At 40.1% G+C, this 16,271-nt stretch overlaps 3 annotated features.

Moving 5' to 3' along the window:
• Nucleotides 5,340–5,634: a silencer, noted in NCBI's record as "tiled region #2779; HepG2 Repressive DNase matched - State 5:Enh, and K562 Repressive non-DNase unmatched - State 23:Low". NCBI's record gives its function as "represses a minimal TATA promoter and a strong SV40 promoter by Sharpr-MPRA in HepG2 and K562 cells {active_cell/tissue: HepG2 | K562}" and the evidence as "EXISTENCE:reporter gene assay evidence [ECO:0000049][PMID:27701403]".
• Nucleotides 13,996–14,506: an enhancer, noted in NCBI's record as "OCT4-NANOG-H3K27ac-H3K4me1 hESC enhancer chr14:39486617-39487127 (GRCh37/hg19 assembly coordinates)". NCBI's record gives its function as "activates a minimal SCP1, AML or CMV promoter by ChIP-STARR-seq in naive H9 embryonic stem cells {active_cell/tissue: H9 hESC(naive)}" and the evidence as "EXISTENCE:reporter gene assay evidence [ECO:0000049][PMID:30033119]".
• Nucleotides 14,507–15,017: an enhancer, noted in NCBI's record as "OCT4-NANOG-H3K27ac-H3K4me1 hESC enhancer chr14:39486106-39486616 (GRCh37/hg19 assembly coordinates)". NCBI's record gives its function as "activates a minimal SCP1, AML or CMV promoter by ChIP-STARR-seq in naive H9 embryonic stem cells {active_cell/tissue: H9 hESC(naive)}" and the evidence as "EXISTENCE:reporter gene assay evidence [ECO:0000049][PMID:30033119]".

Raw genomic sequence — 16,271 nt, 5'->3', positions numbered from 1 at the left:
TTTCTGGCTATTTTGAAATCTAGTAAAACCTGAGAAGCCTAATGTAAAATTAGAGTATTTAAAATCATTAGATTTAAAAGCTACTCATTTAAAAAATAACAACTTTAAGATATAATTCACACATCATACACTTCACCCACTTAAAGTGCACAATTTAATAGTTTTGAGTATTTTCGTGAAGTTATGTATGTAACCACATCACCACAATCAATTTTAGAGTATTTTTTATCACTCCCAATAGTTACTCATTTTTGTTGTAAGGCTAGTGTGTTTTTAAAAAGGGAGATAGAAGTTCATGTAGTTTTTTGTTGTTGTTGTTGTTTGAGACAGAGTCTTGTTCTGTTGCCCAGGCTGGAGTGCAGTGGCACAGTCTCAGCTCACTGCAACCTCCACCTTCTGGGTTCAAGCGATTCTCCTACCTCAGCCTCCCAAGTAGCTGGGATTATAGGCGCCTGCCACCACACCTGGCTAAGTTTTGTATTTTTAGTAGAGATAGGGTTTCACCGTATTGGCCAGGCTGGTCTTGAACTCCTGACCTCAAGTGATCCACCTGCCTTAGCCTCCCAAAGTGCTAGGATTACAGGTGTGAGCCACTGCACCCAGCCAAGTTCACGTATTTTGAATTGAGGAAAGACATTGTAATGATGACACCTGTTTAATTTGCTTGGCCTCTTAAGTTATGTTCTTTAAGTGCTTGGCCTCTTAAGTTATGTTCTTAAGTGTTGTGCCATTGTTTCTTGTCTTGGTACTTAGCCCTAAACTGTCCTCTACTTCTAAATCAGTTACAGCTGAATTTAGGGATAAGGATGAACAAATATACCCTTTTAGTTCACCATTTAAAAGCAATCACCTGGGATCATTTTTGTGTATAATGTGTCTATTTCTAAATTATTATCTACCTACATAGACTGTTGAATGTTTAGCCCTGTCTTAGTTCTTTTGCGCTGCTAGAACAAAATACCCTAGACTGGGTAATTTATAAACAATGGAAATTTATTTCTCACAGTTCTGGAGGCTGGGAAGTCCACAATCAAGGTGCACCATAGAGTTGGTGTGTGGTGATGGCTCTCTGCTTTGTAGGTGGCACCTTCTATGCGTCCTCACATGGAGAAAGGGAGGGAGGTGAACAAGCTTCCACAGACACCTTTTGTAAAAGCAGTAACCCCATTCATGAGGATGTACCCCTCATGCTCTAGTCACTTCCTGAAGGCCCCACTGATCTGGGAGGGAGGCAGAGAAGTGCCAGGAAGGGAAGGGCGTGGTCCTTGGCTAGGGCTTCACCCTCAGGCCTGTGCCTACAGACCTAGGTGAAGACTAGCATTTCTGTTTTCCTGCCCAAATGTTGCATTTCCCAAGACCACTGTGGCCCACCATGCCCCCATCCTGTGCTTTTAAGAACCCCAAGACCCTAGCGGGCACAACACATGCAGCTGGATATCAAGAGGAATGCATTGGCGGAAGAACACAAAAGCAGCAGGACGTCGAGAGGGGCATGCCGGCAAAGAGCACACCGGGAGACTCCAGTAGACACCGGCAGGCCAACCAGTGGAACGACACAGAGTTTGGCTGGGGTGGCCGGAGGAGGGCCCGGGCTGCTGAGCTGCCTGACTCCAGGGGAAAACCACCTCCCCACTCCATCTCCCTTCTGGCTCCCCATCCATCTGCTGAGAACTTCCACCCAATAAAACCTTGCACCCATTCCCCAAGCCCACGTGGGATCCGATTCTTCCCGTACACCAAGGTAAGAAACCCTGGGATACAGAAAGCCCTCTGTCCTTGAGATAAGGCAGGAGATCTAATTGAGCTGACACAAACTGCCTACAGATGCCTAAAGTGAAAGAGCGTACTGTAACACACGCTGGGTTTCAGCTGTGAACATTCACCCCTGAACACTGCTGTGGGGTCGGAGTCCCACAGCCTGCCTGTCTGCGTGCTCCTCCTTGAGGTTGGAGCATTGGGGAACTGAGGAAGCCAGCCACACCCCCATCGTACACCCTGCCAGGGGGATAAGGGGACTTTTCCCGTTTCACCACCTCTTAAATGTCTACTGGAGATTAGGTTTCAACATAGGAACTTTGAGGGAATCAAACATTTAGACCACAGCACCCTTTTAAAGAACGTAGATGATATGGTTTGGATTTGTGTCCCTGCCCAAATCTCATGTCAAATTAGAGGAGAGGCCTGGTGGGAGGTGACTGGATCGTCGGGGCGGATTTCCCCCTTGGCTGTTCTCATAATATTGAGTTCTCGTGAGATCTGATTGTTTAAAAGTGTGTGGCACTTCCCCCTTTGCTCTCTCGCTCTCCTGCTCTGCCATGGTAAGACGTGCTTGCTTCCCCTTCACCTTCTGCCGTGACTGTAAGTTTCCTGAAGCCTCCCAGTCAAGCTTCCTGTTAAACCTGTGGAACTGTGAGTCGATTAAACCTCTTTTCTCCAAAAATTATCCAGTCTCAGGTAGTTCTTTATAGCAATGTGAAAACAGACTAATACAGCAGGACAGGTAAAGAATATTTGCTAAATTATTAGCAGCACTGAGAGGCTTTGGTATATTACCCGGAACTATTTTGGAATTCATTTTTGAACCTACTACCTCTATTGGCATAATCTCTAAAAATGATCTTAGACATCATCTGTGTACACAGATATTTTGGTGTAACAGGATAAATTTATTCTTTTATTGGCAGATTCCAAAACTGAGCTGACATTTCTCTATTTAGTTCCCCAGTTGATAGACTTCCCTCTCATATCCCCAGACTCAGAGACTGCATCTAATGAGTGTACTTAGTTGTCCAGTTCAGGCCAGAAACCAAAGAATCATTTTCAACTCTTACTCTCCTCAACATCTTTGGTAACCACGTTGTACAAATTCAACCTCTCTAGTATTTCCATAATCTGTTTCCAGTTCTCTATCCTACTGCTATTCTGCCTTCATTATATCTCACATGGTTTGGTGAAATACCCTCCTAACTAGCCTACTTTCTCCAGTCTCCTATTCTCTATCCCTCTTTTCAATTCACTTTACACACTGCAACAAGAGTGCTATTTCTGAATACAGGTCTCATTCAGTAATTGCCTTTTGCCCACCCAATAAAGTCCAGACACTTTGGCCTGGTAACATTGAATACTATATATCAGATCATACCCCAGTTCTCTCCTAGAAAAATGGTATAAAAGACACAGTTAAAAAGGTGTATTGGGGAGGGGTTCTAGTTGTACCCAAGCATTAATTTAGGTGTGGTATTTGGTATCTATATAGTGTCAAAAGCAAATGCATTCTTTACTGGCCACTACAAATTAAATTCCATGGCTTATTGCACTTGCTTTTATTTTAAATGAACATGGTATTTTTTCAGTTATTTTTAAACTGCTGACAAATTAGGATTATTTCCTTTCTTTATCTTTTATTAAATTAAAAAAAAATAGAGACGAGGTCTCCCTTTGTTGGCCAGGTTGGTTTTGAACTCTTGGCCTCAAGAAATCCTCCTGCCTCGGCCTTCCAAAGTGCTAGGATTACAGGGCATGAGACATCTCGCCCAGCTGTATATTATTTCCTTTCTAACATCCATTTTACATTTTTATTTTCATTTCCCATGTATCCAGTATACATGCATATGTATTTTTTGTGCTCTTCAAATGCTTGACTTGCATTCATCTTGATGATTTTATCAAGTTATTTTACAGATGTTTCTATTTTTCTTGTTTGCTTTTTAATAGTTTATGAAATTAAGTCTCCTTTCTTCTGTTTATTCTTCCTCCTTTGTTTATCTATTGAAACAACTGCTGTTCTAGGCGTAATGTATTATTATTCAGTGAATAGAATAATATTAAGGTATGCAACACTGAAGTTACATTACTAAATATTTTTGATTTTTTTTTCTTCCCTACCTATGGATTATACTGACCAGCATCTTCTGTTGCTTTTCTTTGAGACTCGGTTTTTTTTTCTATATGTCTTTTCTTACATTTTGTTATTGCCTACCTTTTTCTACATTTTCTGTGTACTAATTTTTAAGGAGCAATTTTAAAGCTCAGTATTTTACTCTACATTGTTCAAGCCTGATTTGTACTGTTTGCAAATATTTTGGTCTCCGATTAATCTTATCTAAAACTTCACAGCGGGAAAAACTTAAATTGCACCACTGATGGAATGATATGTTTTTTTGGTTAGTCCTTTAGTTTTAAAAAACAGTTCAAAAAAAATGTAGTGCCATAGATATTCAAGACACAAACTGCAACTCTAAGAGAGGGGAAATTATTCAAAAATTGTTACTAACTTACTTTCTAAATGTAAGGGTATCCATGTATGTTCAGGACACATTGTATAACTGGGGGTTCTCTGAATTAAGTTCCATGTAGAACACAATGTTTATTGAAAGATAACTTATAAAAATGTACTAATCAGACGGTTACACACACATTATTAAAACTCAGGGAGTAACTACAGCAATTGTATAGATCGTAGACCAATAAAAGTTTTTTCAGGTTGGAGTATTTTATTACTGCATTTGTTTATAATTGCTGGCATGGGGTGATAATACAATTCAAACCTACTGCTCTATCCTTGTTAAATCGTTAGGAAACCAATCAATCAGGTTTGATTTACTCATAAGTTGAGAAATTTCAATGAAAATCATAATACGTTTAGAACTGAACAGTAAAAATATGCCAAAATTTGTATTGAAAAGGGATTATTACACAGAAATAAGTTGTTTTAAATGCAACTGGAGAAAGAATTGAAAAGAAGTAAATGTTGCATTCAACCCAAGAAAACAGCAAAGGAGAACAAATAAATCTAAAGAAAGAAAGGGAAAGGAGATAATGATAAAGTCAGAATTTTTCTTTTTCTGTTTTTTTGTTTTTTTGTTTGTTTTTTTTTAGAGACAGGATCTTGCTGTAGTGCTCAGGCTCGTCTCAATCTCCTGGCCTCAAGTGATCCTTCTGTCTTAGCCTTCTGAATAGCCAGGATTACATGTGCAAGCCACCGTGCCTGGCTTAAAATCAGAATTTTAATGAGATGAGCAAAACGAATCAATGGAGTCGTTCATAAAAGCAAAAAAGTGATAGTTTGAAAGTATTAATCCATTTCTAAAGCTAAGAAGAAAATTGAATATCAATTCTTCTGATAAGTGTAAAATACATGTGTTTTTTTTTTATGTTAGTCTTAAAAATTATTCAAAGTTTTTTGCCCAGGCCAATTAAGAAGCATAATTGCTTAGTTATTTAATGATCAAGATCCATCTACTTTTCCTCTAATGAATTTCAAGTGAGACTTGATGTAACAATCATCATACATTCACCACTCATGAATACAGTTTGGGAAACTGGACTTTCGGAGTTAAAAGGGTCAATTGAAATTGTTAAGTCCTATCTCTTTACCCAATTCATTCAAGGATCCCTTCACAATATCACTGTTGGTCACCTGACCTCTGTAAAATACCTTCAGTGATAAGTCAAACAACACAGCTGTAAGTTGCTGAATGCTGTGAGTGACTTTTACCTTTAGAGAAAAGAATGTTGCTGAGTTAGGAAGGATTTGTATATGACATACCAAAGTCAACTTTGACCAGAATTTTATGGGGAAATACTTAACTCCATTTTACACAATAACACAATCTGAGGGGCTATTAGCTTTCACCTAAAAGGCCATCTGGCAGTCTTTGATACTGTCATTAAAAGAAAGTGGGTAGACAGTTATGTAGCAGGTGTTTGCCAATTAGAAGAATGCTCCCAAGCAGGACATCGTGGACACACTCTCCACAGAACTGTATATTTTCCAACTGCAATAACTGTGTATTTAAGTGAAGAAAAGTACATTGTAGAGCTTGGTGTTATGAGTCTGTTTCCTGTGGAAAGTGTGGCCTGCTGTGCTGGGGAAGCTGCTGTTTTCTCTTCTGGTCAAGATCTTGCTCAACTGCCTTAACAGGGTACAGGGTGAAGCATCCACAGAATGATCCTGTGTGTACATTTAACCTGTTCTGGGGACGGCACTGTTTGTTTTGGCAAAATAGGAAAATTGACAAAATCAACAATTTTTGTAGAGATTAGAACTTTTTCTAAGAATAACAAATCTGAAGATTACTTATGAGTAGCAGTAAAGATGTCACTTTGAAGTGATAAGTATACTGAATAAAGAACCTCCAATAAGGAAGGATCACATTTCACTTTATTTAGTGGCTTAGAGCCTTTTCTTCAAGGCAATTTAAAAGTAAATCTGCAGAGGTTTAAAAATTAATCTTTATCAAATCCTTGTGAGATGCTAATAGGTTAGGTATTCTGCATGTTTGAAAACATTTGTAAAGAAGAGATGAAAGAATCACAGAGCAGTGCTTCTCAAACTTGAACATGAATCCTCAAGGAATAATGATAAAATGCAGATTTCCATCGAGTAGGTCTGAGGCGTTGCATTCTAACAAGCTCTCAGGTGATATCAGTGCTGCTGCTGTGGCAGGCAGACCACAATGTAAATGGCAATGTCAGCTAAGAGCAGCGTTGTCATGTTTTGGGATTCCCATAGGAAGAAGTCCAGCAGTCACTTGGAAATGTGCATTTTGGACTCAGGAGACTCAGTTTTGGGAGCCATAGCATGGAATAATAGCTGAAGTTATGAGAATAGATGAAATTGCTCTTCTTTAATTATTTACTAAATACTAATAAGGTAGTTAGGGAGCACAGTCAGACACAATCCTTCTTTGTCGAGCACAGATTATGCCATCCTGTATGGTCTCCTGCAATGTTTAATTCTAAAATTCTATTTTTAATGAGAACATTAAGCCTATTGATTTATCAAGTATATCTTTTTCAGCAAGGAGTATTTCTATTAAAAAGGCCATCAGGTTGCTGAAATATTAATGGTAGTACAAGATCATGTAACTGAAGAGAATGTTATCATTGAATTCAGGGTTTTGATGAAAACCCAGAGTTAGGTTCTTAATTTAATAGGGATGTTGAGAAAATAAGATTCTAAGTAATAAATTGTGAAATGGCTTGATTAATAATTGTCTTTTGGCCAGGCATGGTGGCTCAGTTTACTCCCAAAGTGTAATCCTAGCACTTTGGGAGGCCGAGGAGGGTGGATCGTTTGAGGTCAGGAGTTCGAGACCAGCCTGGCCAACGTGGTGAAACCCTGTCTCTACCAAAAATACAAAAATTAGCTGGGTGTGGTGGCGCATGCCTGTAATCCCGGATCCTCAGGAGGCTGAGGCAGGAGAATTGCTTGAACCCGGGAGACAGAGGTTGCAGTTAGTCGAGATCGTACCACTGCACTCTAGCCTGGGCAACAGAGTGAGACTCCATCTCAAAAAAAAAAAAGGTCTTTAATTATTTTAAGGAAGATATCTCCTACTTTTTAGGACCATAAAATACATTGCCAAGGCATGTTATGCAATGTTCTTAATTAGGTATGTTTGTTAATTGATTAGCTAACTATTACAGTATAGATAGACATCACTCTGCCTGGAGTTAGAGAAGTAAATGTGACAGTCTCTGAGCAGACTTTGGACCAACAGACTTCTATTTTTGTGTTTGTTATGTGGTGACTCTTCTTATCTTCTTGCATATTTACATTGGGCCTTTTAAATTATATTTACTTATTGAGTGCCATACACACTTCTGACATGGCTTGTTGTAAATGACTCTAATGATTATTTTCCATTTGGAGTCTAAAGTCCAGCATGGTTTCAGGGAGCTAATGTTTTATTATTGCAGGTTCTTTGGCAAGAACATTCAGTGCACCTGCTGTGCGTACTCAGCCTATATATACGGTGACAGCTACATCTGCTTCCCCATCTGCCCCTTTTGGTTTTAAGTTGGTATCATTAGCTATCTGTAACACTTAAGAATCTGCCTGTATCTGTTGAAGGAAACTAACTGGGTTAAAAATCCTCCCCTTTCTGCAGGACCTTCCACAAAATAATAGCTCTGTGGAGTGATTCGGGGATTTCTTATTATTAAATAGATTACTGAAGCTGTGATTGTCAAATAGAAACATGTTTAAACATGTCCAGAGCTTACTTTTATTTATTAAGAAGGATGTGATCACAAAATGTGTTTAATTATAATGTAGCTATGCTGTATGTTAAATTTGGATCTGTTCCCATAGCAGATAAGATCTGTTAATTAATAAAGTCTAAAGTTATCTGTACAGAGTAGAAAACCCTAATTCTTAACATTAGTATACTAGTCATGTCAATCAGCATGTCCACATCCTCCTGCTTGCATCTCTCTGCTGGACTAAGGAGCCAGCCTCCGTCTCTTCCTTAAGCAAAGGGGTGGGATCAAGTTTCCTAAGGGCACCTAATCCATAGACTGGTTGCTGAACCTATGAAATGACTTGATAGGAAAAAGTTTCCTTAGTAAGAATAATGATAATTAAGTAGACTAATTATACTCTCTTCCAGCCTCCCCAACTAATGGTAAAGACTCTAGCAGACTGATTTCGGGTCACTTTTATCTAATAGACTTAAAGGTCACTATAAGCCATAGACAAAACCCTGTTTAACAATGGCTAGGTCCTGTGCTAGGTGGAAACATGCACCACCTCATCTACTTTTCTCCGTGGTAATCTGTCTTTTTTTTTAAATATATTTTTTAAATTTTATTATTATTATACTTTAAGTTTTAGGGTACATGTGCACAACGTGTAGGTTTGTTACATATGTATACATGTGCCATGTTGGTGTGCTGCACCCATTAACTCGTCATTTAGCATTAGGTATATCTCCTAATGCTATTCTTCCCCCCTCCCCCCACCCCACAACAGTCCCCGGAGTGTGATGTTCCCCTTCCTGTGTCCATGTGTTCTCACTGTTCAATTCCCACCTATGAGTGAGAACATGCGGTATTTGGTTTTTTGTCCTTGCAATGGTTTGCTGAGAATGATGGTTTCCAATTTCATCCATGTCCCTACAAAGGACATGAACTCTTCATTTTTTATGGCCGCATAGTATTCCATGGTGTATATGTGCCAAATTTTCTTAATCAGTCTATCGTTGTTGGACATTTGGGTTGGTTCCAAGTCTTTGGTATTGTGAATAGTGCTGCAATAAACATACGTGTGCATGTGTCTTTATAGCAGCATGATTTATAATCCTTTGGGTATATACCCAGTAATGGGATGGCTGGGTCAAATGGTATTTCTGGTTCTAGATCCCTGAGGAATCGCCACACTGACTTCCACAATGGTTGAACTAGTTTACAGTCCCACCAACAGTGTAAAAGTGTTGCTATTTCTCCACATCCTCTCCAGCACCTGTTGTTTCCTGACTTTTTAATGATTGCCATTCTAACTGGTGTGAGATGGTATCTCATTATGGTTTTGATTTGCATTTCTCTGATGGCCAGTGATGATGAGCATGTTTTCATGTGTTTTTTGGCTGCATAAATGTCTTCTTTTGAGAAGTGTCTGTTCATATCCTTTGCCCACTTTTTGATGGGGTTGTTTTTTCTTGTAAATTTGTTTGAGTTCATTGTAGATTCTGGATATTAGCCCTTTGTCAGATGAGTAGGTTGCGAAAATTTTCTCCCATTTTGTAGGTTGCCTGTTCACTCTGATGGTAGTTTCTTTTTCTGTGCAGAAGCTCTTTAGTTTAATTAGATCCCATTTGTCAATTTTGGCTTTTGTTGCCATTGCTTTTGGTGTTTTAGACATGAAGTCCTTGCCCATGCCTATGTACTGAATGGTAATGCCTAGGTTTTCTTCTAGGGTTTTTATGGTTTTAGGTCTAACATTTAAGTCTTTAATCCATCTTGAATTAATTTTTGTATAAGGTGTAAGGAAGGGATCCAGTTTCAGCTTTCAGCTTTCTACATATGGCTAGCCAGGTTTCCCAGCACCATTTATTAAATAGGGAATCCTTTCCCCAGTTCTTGTTTTTGTCAGGTTTGTCAAAGATCAGATGGCTGTAGATATGCGGCATTATTTCTGAGGGCTCTGTTCTGTTCCATTGATCTATATCTCTGTTTTGGTACCAGTACCATGCTGTTTTGGTTACTGTAGCCGTGTAGTATAGTTTGAAGTTAGGTAGCGTGATGCCTCTGGCTTTGTTCTTTTGGCTTAGGATTGACTTGGCAATGCGGGCTCTTTTTTGGTTCCATATGAACTTTAAAGTAGTTTTTTCCAATTCTGTGAAGAAAGTCATTGGTAGCTTGATGGGGATGGCATTGAATCTATAAATTACCTTGGGCAGTATGGCCATTTTCACGATATTGATTCTTCCTACCCATGAGCATGGAATGTTCTTCCATTTGTTTGTATCCTCTTTTATTACATTGAGCAGTGGTTTGTAGTTCTCCTTGAAGAGGTCCTTCACATCCCTTGTAAGTTGGATTCCTAGGTATTCTATTCTCTTTGAAGCAAAAGTGAATGGGAGTTCACTCATGATTTGGCTCTCTGTTTGTCTGTTATTGGTGTATAAGAAAGCTTGTGATTTTTGTACATTGATTTTGTATCCTGAGACTTTGCTGAAGCTGCTTATCAGCTTAAGGAGATTTTGGGCTGAGACAATGGGGTTTTCTAGATATACAATCATGTCATCTGCAAACAGGGACAATTTGACTTCCTCTTTTCCTAATTGAATACCCTTTATTTCCTTCTCCTGCCTAATTGCCCTGGCCAGAACTTCCAACACTATGTTGAATAGGAGTAGTGAGAGAGGGCATCCCTGTCTTGTGCCAGTTTTCAAAGGGAATGCTTCCAGTTTTTGCCCATTCAGTATGATATTGGGTGTGGGTTTGTCATAGATAGCTCTTATTATTTTGAGATATGTCCCATCAATACCTAATTTATTGAGAGTTTTTAGCATGAAGGGCTGTTGAATTTTGTCAAAGGCCTTTTCTGCATGTATTGAGATAATCATGTGGTTTTTGTCTTTGGTTCTGTTTATATGCTGGATTACATTTATTGATTTGCGTATGTTGAACCAGCCTTGCATCCCAGGGATGAAGCCCACTTGATCATGGTGCATAAGCTTTTTGATGTGCTGCTGGATTCGGTTTGCCAGTATTTTATTGAGGATTTTTGCATCAATGTTCATCAAGGATATTGGTCTAAAATTCTATTTTTTGGTTGTGTCTCTGCCAGGCTTTGGTATCAGGATGATGCTGGCCTCATAAAATGAGTTAGGGAGGATTCCCTCTTTTTCTATTGATTGGAATAGTTTCAGAAGGAATGGTACCACCTCCTCCTTGTACCTCTGGTAGAGTTCGGCTGTGAATCCATCTGGTCCTGGACTTTTTTTGGTTGGTAAGCTATTGATTATTGCCACAATTTCAGAGCTTGTCATTGGTCTATTCAGAGATTCAACTTCTTCCTGGTTTAGTCTTGGGAGGGTGTATGTGTCGAGGAATTTATCCATTTCTTCTAGATTTTCTAGTTTATTTGTGTAGAGGTGTTTGTAGTATTCTCTGATGGTAGTTTGTATTTCTGTGGGATCGGTGGTGATATCCCCTTTATCATTTTTTATTGCGTCTATTTGATTCTTCTCTCTTTTCTTCTTTATTAGTCTTGGTAGTGGTCTATCGATTTTGTTGATCTTTTCAAAAAACCAGCTCCTGGACTCATTAATTTTTTGAAGGGCTTTTTGTGTCTCTATTTCCTTCAGTTCTGCTCTGATTTTAGTTATTTCTTGTCTTCTGCTAGCTTTTGAATGTGTTTGCTCTTGCTTTTCTAGTTCTTTTAATTGTGATGTTAGGGTGTCAATTTTGGATCTTTCCTGCTTTCTCTTGTGGGCATTTAGTGCTATAAATTTCCCTCTACACACTGCTTTGAATGTGTCCCAGAGATTCTGGTATGTTTTGTCTTTGTTCTCATTGGTTTCAAAGAACATCTTTATTTCTGCCTTCATTTCGTTATGTACCCAGTAGTCATTCAGGAGCAGATTTTTCAGTTTCCATGTAGTTGAGCGGTTTTGAGTGAGTTTCTTAATCCTGAGTTCTAGTTTGATTGCACTGTGGTCTGAGAGACAGTTTGTTATAATTTCTTTTGTTTTACATTTGCTGAGGAGAGCTTTACTTCCAAGTATGTGGTCAATTTTGGAATAGGTGTGGTGTGGTGCTGAAAAAAATGTATATTCTGTTGATTTGGGGTGGAGAGTTCTGTAGATGTCTATTAGGTCTGCTTGGTGCAGAGCTGAGTTCAATTCCTGGGTATCCTTGTTAACTTTCTGTCTTGTTGATCTGTGTAATGTTGACAGTGGGGTGTTAAAGTCTCCCATTATTATTGTGTGGGAGTCTAAGTCTTTCTGTAGGTCACTAAGGACTTGCTTTATGAATTTGGGTGCTCCTGTATTGGGTGCATATATATTTAGGATAGTTAGCTCTTGTTGAATTGATCCCTTTACCATTATGTAATGGCCGTCTTTGTCTCTTTTGATCTTTGTTGGTTTGAAGTCTGTTTTATCAGAGACTAGGATTGCAACCCCTGCCTTTTTTTGTTTTCCATTTGCTTGGTAGATCTTCCTCCATCCCTTTATTTTGAGCCTATGTATGTCTCTGCACGTGAGATGGGTTCCCTGAATACAGCACACTGATGGGTCTTGACTCTTTATCCAATTTGCCAGTCTGTGTCTTTTAATTGGAGCATTTAGCCCATTTACATTTAAAGTTAATATTTTTATGTGTATTTGTTCCTGTCATTATGATATTAGCTGGTTATTTTGCTTGTCAGTTGATGCAGTTTCTTCCTAGCCTTGACGGTCTTTACATTTTGGCATGTTTTTGCAGCGGCTGGTACCGGTTGTTCCTTTCCATGTTTACTGCTTCCTTCAGGAGCTCTTTTAGGGCAGGCCTGGTGGTGACAAAATCTCTCAGCATTTGCTTGTCTTTAAAATATTTTATTTCTCTTTCACTTATGAAGCTTAGTTTGGCTGGATACGAAATTCTGGGTAGAAAATTCTTTTCTTTAAGAATGTTGAATATTGGCCCCCACTCTCTTCTGGCTTGTAGAGTTTCTGCCGAAAGATCCGCTGTTAGTCTGATGGGCTTCCCTTTGTGGGTAACCCGACCTTTCTCTCTGGCTGCCCTTAACATTTTTTCCTTCATTTCAACTTTGGTGAATCTGACAATTATGTGTCTTGGAGTTGCTCTTCTCAAGGAGTATCTTTGTGGCGTTCTCTGTGTTTCCTGAATCTGAATGTTGGCCTGCCTTTCTAGATTGGGGAAGTTCTCCTGGATAATATCCTGTAGAGTGTTTTCCAACTTGGTTCCATTCTCCCCGTCACTTTCAGGTACACCAATGAGACGTAGATTTGGTCTTTTCACATAGTCCCATATTTCTTGGAGGCTTTGTTCGTTTCTTTTTATTCTTTTTTCTCTAAACTTCTCTTCTCGCTTCTTTTCATTCATTTCATCTTCCGTCACTGATACCCTTTCTTCCAGTTGATCGCATCGGCTCCTGAGGCTTCGGCATTCTTCATGTAGTTCTCGACCCTTGGCTTTCAGCTCCATCAGCTCCTTTATGGACTTCTCTGCATTGGTTATTCTAGTTATCCATTAGTCTAATTTTTTTTCACAGTTTTTAACTTCTTTGCCATTGGTTTGAATTTCCTCCTGTAGCTTGGAGTAGGTTGATCATCTGAAGCCTTCTTCTCTCAGCTCGTCAAAGTCATTCTCCATCCAGCTTTGTTCCGTTGCTGGTGAGGAGCTGCGTTCCTTTGGAGGAGGAGAGGCATTCTGCTTTTTAGAGTTTCCAGTTTTTCTGCTCTGTTTTTTCCCCATCTTTGTGGTTTTATCTACTTTTGGTCTTTGATGATGGTGACGTACAGAAGGGTTTTTGGTATGGATGTCCCTTCTGTTTGTTAGTTTTCCTTCTAACAGACAGGACCCTCAGCTGCAGGTCTGTTGGAGTTTGCTAGAGGTCCACTCCAGACCCTGTTTGCCTGCGTATCAGCAGTGATGGCTGTAGAACAGTGGATCTTGGTGAACCGCAAATGCTGCTGCCTGATCGTTCCTCTGGAAGTTTTGTCTCAGAGGAGTACCGGGCCGTGTGAGGTGTCAGTCTGCCCCTACCGGGGGGTGCCTCCCAGTTAGGCTGCTTGGGGGTCAAGGACCCACTTGAGGAGGCAGTCTGCCCGTTCTCAGATCTCCAGCCACGTGCTGGGAGAAAACCACTACTCTCTTCAAAGCTGTCAGACAGGGACATTTAAGTCTGCAGAGGTTACTGCTGTCTTTTTGTTTGTCTGTGCCCTGCCCCCAGAGGTGGAGCCTACAGAGGCAGGCAGGCCTCCTTGAGCTGTGGTGGGCTCCACCCAGTTGGAGCTTCCCGGCTGCTTTGTTTACCTAATCAAGCCTGGGCAATGGCAGGTGCCCCTCCCCCAGCCTCACTGCCGCCTTGCAGTTTGATCTCAGACTGCTGTACTAGCAATCAGCGCGACTCCGTGGGCCTAGGATCCTCCGAGCCAGGTGCGGGGTATAATCTCCTTGTGTGTCGTTTTTTAAGCCCGTTGGAAAAGCGCAGTATTAGCGTGGGAGTGACCCGATTTTCCAGGTGCGGTCTGTCACCCCTTTCTTTGACTAGGAAAGGGAACTCCCTGACCCCTTGCACTTCCCGAGCGAGGCGATGCCTCGCCTTGCTTCGGCTCGCGCAAGGTGCGCTGCACCCACTGTCCTGCGCCCACTGTCTGGCACCCCCTAGTGAGATGAACCTGGTACCTCAGATGGAAATGCAGAAATCACCCATCTTCTGTCTTCTGCGTCGCTCACGCTGGGAGCTGTAGACCAGAGCTGTTCCTATTCAGCCATCTTGGCTCTACCCCTGTATAACCGGTAATCCATCTTATAGCTCACTTGGAATTTGCTATCTGTTATCTTGGCATCTTAGTCCAAGCCACTTGTTATACATTTATCCACAAGAAAAGTATAAATGATACACACATGGAGAATTCCATTGTCATTCTCTGGTTCTTCTCTCAGGGATACTTGCTCATCAGTATGTCTTGGGAATGGTTCTGTTCTCTGATGTGTTCTTCTCCCAGCACATGAAGAGTTTCTCCTAGGCCCCACCCACTCAATGCTTGCCCCACTGTGTTGGCTCTGGGATATACACTTCTTACCTAGACGTTTATTTTTACTCACAGGATTTACTAAACCTTAGGAGCTGAGCCAGGAATGGTGGTGCATGCCTGTTGTCTCAGCTACTTGGGAGGCTGAGGTGGGAGATCGATTTAACCCATGTGTTTAAAACCGAACGGAGCTATGATCATGCCACTGCACTCCAGCCTAGGCAGCAGAGTGACAGCCCGTGAAGAAAGAGAGAGAGAGAGAGAGAGTGAGAGACAGAGAGAGACAGAGAGAGAGAGACCTTAAGAGCTGAATCCTTATCAACGGATTCTAATGAAAGGCCATGCTTTTCTCCAAAATGCTGGATGAGGCCATCTGTCTACTATTCTTGTTAATAAAAATAATGAGATGCTGCTACAGCTTTCTGCAGTGTTGTGTGTTCGTGTTCTTTCTGCCTGCTGTGTCCACTCTGCAGTGTGGGGATTTTTTTGTGGGCTGTAGCCACAGGAAGGGTGTTCTAGTGAAGAAATGCCCTACTTGCCTGGAGTCTGAGCCAAACATGGACACTCCTTTGCACAACTTTATAACATCTTGCATAACATCAGTAGGTATTTTTTGGCAGTTGTGGCTAAAAAAATAGCTCAGGGATATTATCATTCAATAATGTTATATGCAGTAGTATGTAGGTTACATACCTGCTGATAGACTAGGGATAAATATGACTTATGGAGCAGTACCTTGTACTAAAAATAGCACTTGCTCATGATTGTAGAAAGTTAGAACTAACCTACCACTCAGATATCTGCGGGGAGAGAAGCATACAGGATTTAATCAATTATCTTCCCAAAACACTCCCTGGAAAGAAAATTGTAATTTCATTTAAAATAATCAATGAAATATTTTTCCATGTGTTAGATGACTTATATACATTAGCGTGTATTCTCCCTTATTTCTGAATCTTGTGATTTAAAAAAATTAATATTACAATTTTATTTCTAGCCAAGTGTTCTTTACTATTAAATTTTAGAAGGGTTGTGAAAATTTGTGTTGGGAGTCACAAATTATTCTGCGCTTTTTTGTTCTATTGGGAGATATTACATTTCTCTCTATTATTTTCACTTTGTACTTATTTGTAGGGTTGCTGAAATAGCTTTTGAACTGAGTGAACATTTTAAATTCACTCTGTTTTTTAATATTATTAAAGCTTCTTTGAGCAAATAAGAGAATGACGAAAGAAAGAAATTCGAGAGGGATAAACTAAAAAGAAAGAGGAAAGCTTT

This window comes from Homo sapiens, chromosome 14 (genome assembly GCF_000001405.40).
Source record: "Homo sapiens chromosome 14, GRCh38.p14 Primary Assembly".
NCBI classification, from domain to species: Eukaryota; Metazoa; Chordata; class Mammalia; order Primates; family Hominidae; genus Homo; species Homo sapiens.
This window is presented reverse-complemented; position numbering and strand designations above follow the sequence as displayed.